This window comes from Homo sapiens, chromosome 9, assembly GCF_000001405.40.
Source record: "Homo sapiens chromosome 9, GRCh38.p14 Primary Assembly".
Classification (NCBI taxonomy): domain Eukaryota; kingdom Metazoa; phylum Chordata; class Mammalia; order Primates; family Hominidae; genus Homo; species Homo sapiens.
Window position 1 is genome coordinate 70,913,470 of NC_000009.12, and position 13,846 is coordinate 70,927,315.

A 13,846-nucleotide genomic window follows, 5' to 3' on the forward strand; every position below is an offset into this window, starting at 1 on the left:
AAGGAAGGCCATCAAGTTCACACACATTTGTTTATAATGTCCAAGTTCAAAACTACCAGAGGGAAAAGCTGCTGCTAAAATATGCAAGAGTTTCTATAGCAGGAAAAGACAAAAACAACCAACAATTATTTAAATGAATAAATATCTTAGTATTATCAAGTACTAAATGTTCTAGAGGATCATTCATGATGCCCAGTCTTACCAGAAAAAAACCACCAGACTGGACTTGACTAATGGATGAATTTTTTTTTGTCTTAAATCTATATTTCTGTCTCTGTAATACTCTGAGCAACTCAATGTCTCTCTCTGTATGTTCTTCCAGGAGTAAAATACTGGCTTGTCCATTAGTCTTGAAAACATAAAAATTGCTAAGCATACAGGTTCTTCCTTTCCTCTGCATGATGGCCACAGACCTCGCCTAAACTCCATTGCACTGAAATATTCTACTGGTTATAGAAAAGATCAGGTCAAAGAATAAAGAAATGAAGGTATTGACCCCTTTCCATGTTTTCCAGGCAAAATAACTTAGATCACAGCCTTCAATGACAGCCGATAAATACCACACTATGGTTTGAATGTGTGTCCTTTCAAAATTCATATGTTGAAATCTAACCCTCAATCCAACAGTATTAAGAGGTTAGGTCCTTTTGGAGGTAATATTTAGGTCATGAGAGCTCCTTCCTCATGAATGGAGTTAATGCCCATATAAAAGAGGCTTCACATAGCATTCATCCCTTTTTCTTTTCCACCATGTGAGGACACAGCATTTGCCCCTTCTGTCATGTGAGAACACAGGAACATCGTGCTATTTTGGAAGCAGAGATTCCTCACAATACACTGAACTTTCTGGCACTGTGATCTTGGACTTCCCAGCCTCCAGAACTGTGAGAAATAAGTTGTTTATAAATTATTCATTCTAAGGTATTTTGTTAAAGCAGCAGGAAAACACTAGAACACACCATGATATGTATTTCTTAGTCATTGGAGGTACAATGAGAGATCATATGATGTGCCAAAAGAAAATCCCTGCAGTGATGGACGCTGAAGCAGAACAGACGTGTAGTGTGATAATTAAAGGGCATGGAGTTACTACTGAATAATGACAATGCAGAGTCCAGTGTCCTTGAGCAAACATAGGAGACAGCTAGGGAGTGGTTACAGCAGGCCTTGAGTGAGACTCAGTGCTGAATGGGCTTCAGGTCTGACCCAGCACAGTCCTAGTGCTGGTGGTCACAGGAGTGCTTGTGTCACTTCACCCTCAGCTCTAGGTGACTCAGAACGGAGAAAGAGACACTGTTTGGGAAAAAGTAAGGGAAGAGAACAAGTGTCTCTGCCTAGTGATCCAGATAATTTTTCCAGATCTTGTCCAAGACCATCAAGACAGTACCTCCATGAGTTTGCAAGAACTACAGTGTTACTGGACTTTGTTACTGGGTGCCTCCTAATGAAGATATAGCTTAGATTACAACACCCAAGTCCTTTTGAATACCTGGAAAGCCTTCCCAAAAAGGATGGGTACAAATAAGCCTGAACTCTGAAGACTACAATAAATACCTACCTCTTCAATGCTCAGATACATACACACATCCACAAATATCAAGGCCATCCCAGAAAACATGGCCTCATGAAATGAACCAAATAAGATCATAGAGAAACAGAGATATGTGACCTTACAGACAAATAATTCAAAATAGCTGTTTTGAGGAAACTCAAATAAATTCAAGATAACACAGAGAAGGAATTCAGAATTCTATCAAATTTAACAAAGAGATTGAAATAATTTTTAAAAATCAAGGAGAAATTCTGGAGCTAAAAAATGCATCAGAGTCTTTTTTTTTCTTTTTTTGAGACAGAGTCTTACTCTGTCGCCCAGGCTGGAGTGCACTGGCCCAATCTCGGCTCACTGCAAGCTTCACCTCCTGGGTTCCCACCATTCTCCTGCCTCAGCCTCCCAAGTAGCTGGGACTACAGGCGCCCACCACCATGCCCGGCTAATTTTTTTTTTTTTTTTATTTTTAGTAGAGACGGGGTTTCACCGTGTTAGCCAGGATGGTCTTGATCTCCTGACTTTGTGATCTGCCCGCCTTGGCCTCCCACAGTGCTGGGATTACAGGCATGAGCCACCACGCCTGGCCACATGAGAGTCTTTTAATAGCAGACTTGATCAAGTAGAAGAAAGAATTAGTGAGCTTGAAGGCAAGCTATTTGAAAATACATGTCAGATGAGAGAAAAGAAAAAAAAAACAATAAAGCAAGCCTACAAGATCTAGAAAATATCCTCAAAAAGGCAAATCTAAGAGTTATTGGCCTTAAAGAGGAAGTAGAGAAAGAGATGGGGTAGAAAGTTTATTGAAAGGGATAATAACATAGAACTTCCCAAACCTAAAGAATGATATCGGTCAATATCCAAGTACAAGAAGGTTACAGAACACCAAGCAGATTTGATCCAAAGAAGACTACTCCAAGGCATTTAATAATCAAACTTCCAAAGGTAAAGGATAAAGAATGAATACTAAAAGCAGCAAGAGAAAAGAAACAAATAACATATAGTGGAGCTCCAATATGTCTAGCAGGAGACTTCTTAGTGGAAACCTTATAGGCCAGGAGAAAGTGGCATGGCATAGTTAAAGTGCTGAAGGAAGAAAAAGCTTTCACCCTAGAATAGTATGTTCAGCAAAAATATCCTTCAAACATGAAGGGGAAATAAAGACTTTTTCAGACAAATGAAAGCTGAGGGATTTCATCAACACCAGACCTGTTCCACAAGAAATGCCAGGGGAATAAGTCAATCAGAAAGAAAGGGACATTAATGAGCAATAAGAAATCATCTGAAGGTACAAAACTCATTGGTAATAGTAAGTACACAGAAAAATATAGAATATTATAAAACTGTAACTATGGTATGTAAACTCTTGTGTAGAAAGACTAAATGATGAATCAATCAAAAATAATAACTACAACAACTTTTCAAGACAGTAGAGTACAGTAAGGTATAAATAGAAACAACAAAAAGTTAAAAAGTGGGGGGCACAAAGTTAAGGTGTAGAGTTTCTATTAGTTTTTGCTTCTTTTTCTTGAAACCATTTTTATTTACTCACTCATTTTTTGCAGGGTGGATAAGCTCAGAAACCATTTTTAAATTTCTGGTCCATTCATGTGTATGAATAAATATACTATATTATTTATTTGATATATAGTTGTATAAAAAGTCTGGCTATATATATTCTTAGTGCTTAGACTTTCTAAAGAATAAGCCATAAATAGGAAATAAGAAAGAAAATACAAGCAGCACTTTGTTATATGGAAAAATGCTTCAGCTCAGCAAGAATATAGAAAAAATCAAAGCAAAATAACTTCACAGTATGGTGATACATCTACTGAACTGGCAATCATAAATCAAACTTGAAAAGTCAGTGCTGGCAGATGGGGAGGCAAGTGGTTCACTTCTCTTTAGATACTGATGGTGGCACTGCAAATTGGCTTAGGCTTTCTAGTGAACAATCTGGTATAATTGCCTGGAGGAGTTAGAAGTCCTGGGACAAACAAGGTGAGTGGGTATAGAGACTGGTATGTCGCTAAGGCAAGAAAAATAGCACTGAGGAAAGCACTGCAACAGGTCCACTTTCAGAGAGATGTAACACATTTCCATAGGGGTTCGGATGAGTTCGGCCACATCTGGGGCATACTGGTCCAGTTCTAGGAGGAGTTTCTGCTTTTTAAACACAACTTTATTGAAGTCCTGGATTGCAAAATACAGGGCAATAGCAGTGAGTGCATCAGTTATCATAAACACCAATTCAGCATAGTCAATTAGGAAGCGAAAGTGGTATATTATTAATGGAGTTTCATGAAATATTGCTCCAGAATATGGAGATACTCCCAAGTCCAAGAGTGAAAGGCCTTCAACCACTCTCTTCCAAGAGCTCAGTGGGGACACCACCTCCACCTGCTCAGAAATGAACTCGGCCAGACTGGAGTGGAACAAGGCCACCCGCACTGTCACTGCCACCACCAGCACCAGGGCCAAGGGAGCCACCACGATAACTGGGGCGGGCACGCAGCTTTGTTTTCTTCTTTACGCAAACAGTGTTAAGTTGTTATATCAACTTAAAATAATGGCTTATACTATAGATTCACAAGTCTTATGGTAGCCTCAAATCCAAAACAGAGTAAATACACAAAAATAAAAAGCAAGAAATTAAATCACATCACCAGAGAAAATCACCTTTATTAAGAGGAAAACAGGAATGAAGAAAAGAAGTCAGAGAAGACTACAAAACAAGCAGAAAACAAATAATAAAGTGGTAGGAGTAAGTCCTTACTCATCAATAACAACAATGAATGTAAATGGACTAAAGTCTCCAATCAAAAGACATAGAGTCACTCAATGGATAAAAAAAACAAGATCGAATGATCTGTTGCCTACAAGAAACAGACTTCACCTATAAAGACACACACAGACTAAAAATAAAGGGATGGAAAAAGATATTTCATGCCAAAGGAAAAAAAAAAGAGAGCAGGAGTAGGTATACTTATATCAGACAAAATAGATTTCAAGACAAAAGTGGTAAGAAGAGACAAAGTAGGTAACTATGTAATGATATCTAACCATTGTAAATATATTTGCACCCAACACTGCAGCACACAGATATATAAAGCAATGATTATTAGAGCTAAGGAGATAGACCCCAATACAATAATAGCTGGAGATTTCAACACCCTACTTTTAGCATTAGACAGATCACTCAGAAAGAAGATCAGCAAAGAAACACAGAACTTAGTTCTGCACTATAGACCAAATAGATCTAATAGATACTTACAGAACACTTCATCCAATGGATGTAGAATACACATTCTTCTCCTCAACACATGGATCATTCTCAAGAATAAACTATATGTCGGATCACAAAACAAGTCTTAAGGCATTAAAAAAAGTTGAGATAGTATTAAGCATCTTCCCTGACCACAATGAAATAAAACCAGAAATCAATAGCAGGAGGAATTTTGGGATCTATACAAATACATGGAAATTAAACAATATGCATGACCAGTGGGTCAATGAAGAAATTAAGAAGGAAATTAAAAAATTTCTTGAAACAAATTATAATGCAACACAACATACCAAAAACTGTGGGATACAGCAAAAGCAGTACTAAGGGGGAAATTTATACCTTTAAACGCCTATGTCAAAAAAGAAGAAAAACTTCAAATAAACAACCTAACAATGCATCTTAAAGCAATAGAAAAGTAAGAGCAAAGCAAACCCAAAATTAGTAGAAGAAAAGAAATAATAAAGATCAGAGCAGAAATAACTGATCTTGAAACGAACAATACAAAAGATCAATGGAATAGAAACTTATTTTTTTTAAAAAAATAAACATAATAGGCCCAATAGTCTACTCCATTTGGGAAAGCCAGAGTCAGAAAGATCAATCATTTTTTCTCTTGGTGGCCATTATTTTTGATAAGTGGGTCAATTGCACTGTTTCAGATGATCTCATAGCAGATAAGTTTTGCAGAACATGTTTACAGAATCTCCTCTCTTTCCTCAGGCCTCATTACCCATTACTCATTACATCCTAATAGAGGTGTCTGTGCCCCTCTCCCTGTCTCCCCTCTTTCCAATTCATCCTATTCCCTGTCCTGTTAAAAGAATACTTTTCCTAAAGCACCAGATTTTCACCCTCAGTAAAAAATCTTCTATTAGATGTTGATTTGTTAAGAAACAAAGTCCCAACTGCCTAGCATGGAAATCAAGGCTCTCCTCTGTCACCTGATTAGAATCCCCTTTCTAGTTGAACTTTTCATTTCTCTTCTTTGGCACCTGATGGTACAGTCAGTCAAACTGAGCCTTGTCCTAGAAATGTGCCCTGCCTCAGCAAGTGACTTTGCCATTAGGAATACTCTGCCCCAGCCTGGAAGGGCTTTCTCCACAACCCCAATCTCTTAATGTATATTTGTTACCTTCTTGAAGGTTAGCTCAAACATAATCATTTTCATCACTTTCCTCAGCAGAATTAATCTTGCATCCTGGCCAGGCACGGTGGTTCACACCTGTAATCCCAGCACTTTGGGACGCCAAGGTGGGTGGATCACCTGAGGTCAGGAGTTGGAGACCAGCCTGGCCAACATGGTGAAACCCTGTCTCTATTAAAAATACAAAAATTAGCTGGGCGTGGTGGTGGGTGCCTATAATCCCAGCTACTTGGGAAGCTGAGGCAGGAGAATCTCTTGATCCTGGGAGGTGGAGATTGCAGTGAGCCAAGATCACGCCATTGCACTCCAGCCTGGGTGACAAGAGTGAAACTCCATTTCAAAAAAAAAAAAAAAATCTTCCATCCCACCATACTCCTATGATATTTTGTTCATTCCCTTACTATATTCTACCTTATATTTTATTTGCGTATGCTCTTGCCTGATATTTATTTGGGAAAGTCTAACTTGGGGCCCATCTGTCCATCAATCAATGCAGATATTCCCATATAAGTGTGGTCAAAAGTAGGGAATAGACCCTCCCTGCAGTTTACTAAATTGATCTTCAAGAATATAGGTAGTTTTCTCTTATTTAGGCATCAAGTCCAATGGGGAGGCTAGGGAAAGAAAACTGACAGAACAGAGACATTTACTGTAGATAATGTTCAGTATTTTATGATTACCTCAAAAGGCTAAGGACCAGTCTTTTTTTATTACTTCATCTTCAATATTTGATATGCAGTAGGAATTCAGCAAACCATTTTTGGAATAAAAGTCTTTCTTCTTCATTTGACTAGAAGCTTCTTGAAGGCAACAACTGTGCCCTGTTTGTATTTGCACTCCTCACAATGTCTGTGTGCCTTGCTTCATAAAATTTTGTTTCATTGCTTAGTGGGTGGGTCAGTGCTTTGAAAAGTCTATTAGGTTTTTGCTGTGGTAATGACATAGAAATAATGAAATGTGATAATAAAATAAAAAGAAAAGAAACTGTGGAAAATGACAGACCATTTTAAAATGTCAACAACTTTGGCACTTTAGTCCCCTCTACCAAACTTCTAATCAGAACTCTTTAACATGGAGCTAAAATAACAGATTTTGGTCACTCTATATTCTCCCAAAACGACATACTCATTATTATGAAAAAGTGATGGAATGCACCATCAAAAAGAATCCTTGAGGATTAAGAGGAAATCACATGAAACTCCCAGCATGAATAATGAAACATCTATACTTCACATTATTTCATAAATAAAAGGAAATATTAAAACTCACAAATAGGAAAGATATAATGCCAAAAGAAGATAGTACTTTAAATGGAATCAATATGAAAAGCTTACTATATTATCCTTATTTCTTATTTTAACTGATCATAATTTTAACTGATCATAACTAAACTGATCATAATTTTGTTGTAGACCAATATTAGGCATTCATTTTTAGCAGAATCTTCAAATACCGGTTGCATACTCTCAATTAAATATTCCTAGTCACTACTGACCAGAGGAATGTTGCCAAACAAATATACATATTTTCCTTTGGTGTCTATATATCTTTTTTACTCTAAAACTTCCTAGTTTTCAACTGCCTTCTGTTGGTCCCTCTAAAAATGTTTGATTGCTCCCACTCTGGTTTTTGGTTAACAAGCAGATTCATTTATCTCATGCTCACGTCCTCTTCATTCCTTGCCTATTTTGTTCTTCATCAAACAAATGACTGTTCTTCTCTACACAGGTTGTTCTGTTCTCTCCCTTCCAGTTTTACCACAGTTCTCATTTTTACTTATGTTTTCCACAGCACATTTAAATAAAATTTTATAACCTGCTTCTCTGTTTTGTACTGCCTTTAGATTAAAGGGTAATAGGATATTCAAACAGAGTACTTTGTGTCTCGGCTTTGCTGAGGCCTAAAGGCTGAACCATACCTAATTGCTTACTCACTTCACATTGTATAGCAAAATGCTAACTCATCCATGTGAGATTCACAAAGAGGAAAGCTACAAACTAGTGCTATTAGCATTAGCCAGGCCTTTCACTTCCACAACCTTGAATAGTCCAGGAAACAGAATATTTGGTGAGAGAGTGCTGAAGTGCTATGACATTTCTCCACTGGGGAGAAGAGGTTGTTACTCCCTTAGTGAAGTTTTAGACTCAAGTGAGTCTCTAAGTAGCTCAAAGAGTTTGATACGTGTCTCTAGGAGGGAAGGTTGTACAGAGAGTGACTACACTTCTAACACAAAGACCCATTTCTCCGTTCTTGTGCATGTTCTCTCTCTCTCTGGTTCTTTTCTGTTGTTCACTTTGATGAAGCAAGCCACCATGTCACGGATTGCTATATAGAGAGGCCCACATGTCAGGGAACAGAGAGCGGCCTCTTCCCAACAGTCCTCAAGGAACAGAATGCTGCCAACAACCACATGAATTAGCTTAGAAGAAGATAATTTCCCAACGGAGCTTTAAGATGGGTTGGCAGCCACTATACACACACACACACACACAAACAAACACACACACACACACACACACACACACACACATATAGTTATTTTTGTGGTTCTACATTACTAAGCCAAGCTGGATCAATAAGCTGGTAATAAGAATCAAATGTAGAACTTTGAGAGTAACTCATTCTCTTTCTAGGGTCTTGCTTGAAAGAAGTTCTTGGGAAGTGGATTTGACAGCTGACAAGAATAACTCATAGGAGACACATATCTGTGCATAGATTGAACAACCATTTTTCTGACATATGAACCTCAGAAACGTAGGCATTTTCCACTTTTGTACTAACTACATTCCTTTTTTATCATTTCTTGGCCAAAGAGATTGAACTCTGAACAATATCACCCCTCCCCACAAATCCTGTCCCCAGCCACACATATATGTTCCCATGCATTATGTCATTAAGGTTTGACTTGGACCATCAAATATGCCAGGCCTCAAAAAGAAGTTCGACTGTTGTGCCAATTGCATATTCTGTAAATATCCTAAACATTATTGAATTGCACACTCAAAATGAACTAATTTAATGTTATATAATTTATATCTTCATAAAGCTGTTAAAAATGGACTTTAAATAGCAGAAAGGCAGCCTTGACATTTTTGTACCTCTGCAGGTCTTCTGCAGATATCCTTTCTGCCACTATTTGAAGATACAGAATACTTTTCTTTGATTACCATTTTCCTACTAAATCATTTCTTTCAGAACTTATTACAGTTCCTTTGACTTGGCTTGTGGCTAAACCTTCATACACTGATACTCCACTGGTAAGAAAATTTCATTTCAAAGAATTGGAAAGAGAAAGAGCTTACTCATTTTTATTTGATTTCAGTTATTGTAGTGCAGCTAAGTGGTCTCAGTCTCGTTTTCTTTCCACATATTGAGCTTGGGTCTCCAAAGAGGTTATTTTTCAAAAGGAGATTTTGCAGGTAACCAGCATGTTATATAGAATGTAATATTTGGGGCCTGAGAAAAGAGAAGAGACTCTGTAAACATGTTCCACAAAAGCTCATCTGCTATGAGATCATCTGAAACAGTGTAATTGATCCACGTATCAAAAGTAATGGCCACCAAGAGAAAAAGCCATTGATCTTTCCGACTTTGGTTTTTCCAAATGGAGTGGACTATTGGGCCTATTATAAAAGATAGCGCCTATCCAGGGGCAATGAAGTGGAACCCATAAATTACCTGGTTTATTAATTTTTGTAAACATTTAGATGAACTAGTTAATAAAAACAAAAAAAGCCTAAAAAACCTGAAAGCAAATGTCGCTTAAAATAACTGTGTGTTCATCTTCATGGCGTTTTACACTTTTTAATACATGTTCATGTTCACGTTTTATACTTTTTAATACCTGTTCACAAAACTGCAATTTTGCAGGTTTTGTCCTATTTTGGGATGATGGGAGGATATATAGAGAGGATAAAATCCGTCAAGATTACAACAGAACACTAGATAGGATTACAAAATTTGCTTTGTAGCCTCTCCCATGGGGGTTCTTAAAATGTATTTAATTTTTTTAATAACAAATGAATTTATGTTAATTGTAGAAAAATACAAAAATAGAGAAATTACAAAGAAGAAAAAAAGTAACTATTTTACCAAGAATTGGATATAAAGTAATGCCATTAATACAAGGAGAAAACTGCCTAGATTCCTAAGGGTCATGTGTCAGAAAATCTTTGTATTTCCTATGAATTTTTCTTGCCAGTTGTCAAATGTGTTTCCTAAGAACTTGCTTTAGGCAAGACCCTGGAGAGCCAGTGAGTTACTCTGAAAGCTGTCCATTTGATTCCTATTAACTAGCTTATTCATCCAGCTTGGCCGAGTAATACTGGCAACACAAATAACACACACACACACACACACTCTCTCTCTCTCTCTCTCTCTCTCTATATATATATATATACACACACACACACATATATATATATACATATATATACACACACACATATATACATACACACACACATATATACATATATACACACATATATACATATATATATACACACACACACATATATATATACACACAATCTATCTATCTATTTATCTATCTATATATATATATCTTTGTGCTGTTTTCCTTTAGAACATTGGTTCTCAACTGAGGGCAATTTTGCTGTCTCCCGTCTAGGACATTTGGCAATGTCTGCAGACATTTTTGGTTGTTCCTTGTGGGTGAAATGGTGCTGCTGACATTTGGCTAGAGGCCAGAGATGCTGCTAAACATCATCTAATGCACAGAAAAGCCCCCACATACCCAACAAAGACTTATATGGCCCCAAATAGCAACAAGGCTGATATAATACCAATATTTATTTCCTTCCTTGATTCCTCTTTCCTCCCAAAATTATAGTCACACTGGTCATCTACTTCCATATACTATTTATTTTTTACTTACAATTATATTGTGAATATTTCTTCATATCATTATTCTTCAAAGCATGAATTTAATGCTGTACAACAGTTTATCATGTGACTTATTTAATACTCCTTACTGATGACAATCAGTTCCATTTCCAGTATTTCAACATCATTAAATAATGTTGGTATGAACATTCTTGACCATAAATCTATTTTCATTTCTCTAATGATTTTCTTTGGATGGATTCCTAGAAGTACAATGACTGAGTCAAACCAAATGAATGTTTTTAAAGCTCTTCGTCTTGTTGCCAAATTGCTTTCACGATTAACAGTCTCTCTGGCAGCATATTAGAATACTCGTCAGGCCAGCTCGGTTTCTACCATATTTTTGCGCTAAGCTAAAATTTGACATGTTAACACTAATACGTAAGCCTTATAGTCCTGATATGATTTGTGAATGTTAAGTACTTTAATAACCATTCTCTAGCTGACTAATACAAGGTAGAAAGTTCAGGTGCTATACTCACCTTACCCCCAACAACCATCTAAGAACTCTTATTTTCAAGAAGTAATTTCTACAAGGTTACACAGATTTCAAGATGAAGGAGAAAGAAAAGGAGAAGGAGAAGATGATGATCGCTGAACCTAAGCCAGAAGCCAGCTTTCATTCTGCGCTCTTTCCACTGAACCGTACACAATTGCCATTTCATAACGTGAATTGCATGAACATGGATATGCACGGACTCACTTGAGTCAGTCAAGAGTTTTGGCTTTCACATTCTCCAGTACTTGGCTAACATGTATAGCCCTACCTGCCCCTTTCCAGCAGATGGTGCTGTTTTTCCAACATTTAAATGCTACACAGCAAATGATAACTTTTGATTGATTTGAGCCAGGTTGCTTAAGGGCGTTCAACGAAGTCTACTTTGCACATTGGTATTATTAAAATTGCTCAAACATAAAACCAATCTTTGCTCAGTATTGATGGAAACAATGTGTGTTCGAGAGTACTGATAACAAATAAATAATGAATCACCACCCTACCGCAATGATGTATTACACTAGACTTTTTTCCTGGAGACATAGAAGTAAATGTTTTAGGGAGGCTGTGGGAGTCAGAGGTGGGTCTTAAACAAGGTAGATATAAAAGATTATGAGTCATCATACAAATTCTGTGTTGCTTCTACAGTAAATATCATGGAACAAATGTTGGTAGAATATGGAAAAAAATATATATATATATCCTCCTGTCTATTCACAGAATATGGAATATATATATATATCTCCTCCTGTCTATTCACAGCTCCAATGCAGCTTTCTTACTTCCCACCAATTAAGTTTCTAATAACACCTATAGGCAATCTTTATATATATATGCTGGGGTATCAGCAGTGACTCATTTTCCAAAATAATTTGATATTAATATAGAAGAGGAAACACAATATCTCCTTTCAGCCAGCGCGGGAGAGATAAATTTCTCACTGTCAATACAGGTTAGTAGTTCCCTCAAACACAATTAGGACTTAGATGAGAACATCCTCTTTCCTGGGTTAAGAATATGTTTACAATGAGAAAACAAGGCCAATCCAACTTTTCTGAAAAGAGCATCAGTCCAGATGAGGACTGATTCAGTAAGGTACATTGTGATTCACTCATGACTGGAGAAGAAAAAGGTTGGCTTGGGAAAACAAAAAAAAAAAAAACAAACAAAAGCCACCTTTAAAATCAATCCACAATCCGCAAGTCTCAAACAACTATCACTCATCCACATAGAAAAGTCATCCATGTTTCAAAAAGGCCATAAACCATGCATAGGCTGCTGGTTAAGAGACTGATCACACTGGCAAGGAGAGGACCTACAATAGTTGTCCTCTCAAATTTGTAAAATTTGATGAGAAATGGGAATAAATTATAAATCTGAGCTTGGAGGCTTGTGTGATCTTCAGAGCAAAGTGTCCCCCAAACCAAAGTTGGAATAAGCAATATTTTTAAAATATTTCAGGTCCAGCCCAAACTGACATACTTATCTGTGAAGTTATCTGTATTTATCTGTAAAAATTTGTGGCCATATAATGCAGAGATACTAATGCATGAACCCTTTTGTATAAATCACAAGTACATGTGATTTCATAGAGAGATGCACAAAAAAATTAAAAGTGGCTCTCTCAAAAGGAAGTGTTTGGCATTTGAAAAAGAGGAAGATATATAACAAATGTTGAACTACTTTAGATCTTAAAACATCTCAGAAAAAAAACACAACTTTTTCTTCACCTAATAGTGCTTCAAAGAAATATAATTTAACTCACATCCCAGTCTTGGCTATCGATTATAGAAGTTAACAAACAGAACAATTTCTCTGTAACCTATTGTTTTTAAGCAGGCCTTGAGATTTGTTTTAATTATTTAGTATTCTGCATAGATGCATCTGATGGACTTGGCTGTTTTGCTCCTTGAACATATTGTAACAGTCTCAGAGCTACATGTGCTCAGGGAAGGCATTTTAAAAACTAAATTTTCAAAGGTGTCAGCAACCTTGCAGATTTAAGATTGTAAATATCCACACTGCAGAACATGTCCACTAAATTTTCCAATCAGAGGAGGCCTGTGTTGACAGCTCATCCCATGGCAGGCATTGAATTTAATCAAGAAATTTCTAGTTTAAAGGTTAAATTCTAACCTGAAAATGCACCATATCTAAGGAAATTCCATTTCAAGTAACATGAAAATTCATTCCAGAAGTTTTCATGACTGTCATGGTTGAAGAGCTAAGTCTTATTTATCAAGGTTTTATACTATATGTCACTACCAACATACTGAAATGTTTTCCCATTTACCATTCCTTTGAATCTGAGTTTATTGTACTCTAGTTCTCTTTTCCTGGGAAGCTGAGGAAGCTAGAGAATGTTATCTTATATAGAAGGTTTGGAGATTATGTCTCCTTAAATTTTTATGGAAATTCAAATTTACTTTTCACACTTTCATGTTCTGGACATAGAGGGTCAAAATA

The 13,846-nt window shown here is 36.7% G+C and overlaps 1 protein-coding gene and 1 pseudogene across 14 annotated transcripts in view; both read right to left on the minus strand.

The window, feature by feature from the left end:
- The window catches only part of TRPM3 (transient receptor potential cation channel subfamily M member 3), a 917,912-nt gene that overhangs the window by 384,410 nt on the left and 519,656 nt on the right, over nucleotides 1-13,846 (minus strand). The window lies entirely within an intron of this gene.
- PIGUP1 (phosphatidylinositol glycan anchor biosynthesis class U pseudogene 1) lies at nucleotides 3,612-4,046 on the minus strand (annotated as a pseudogene).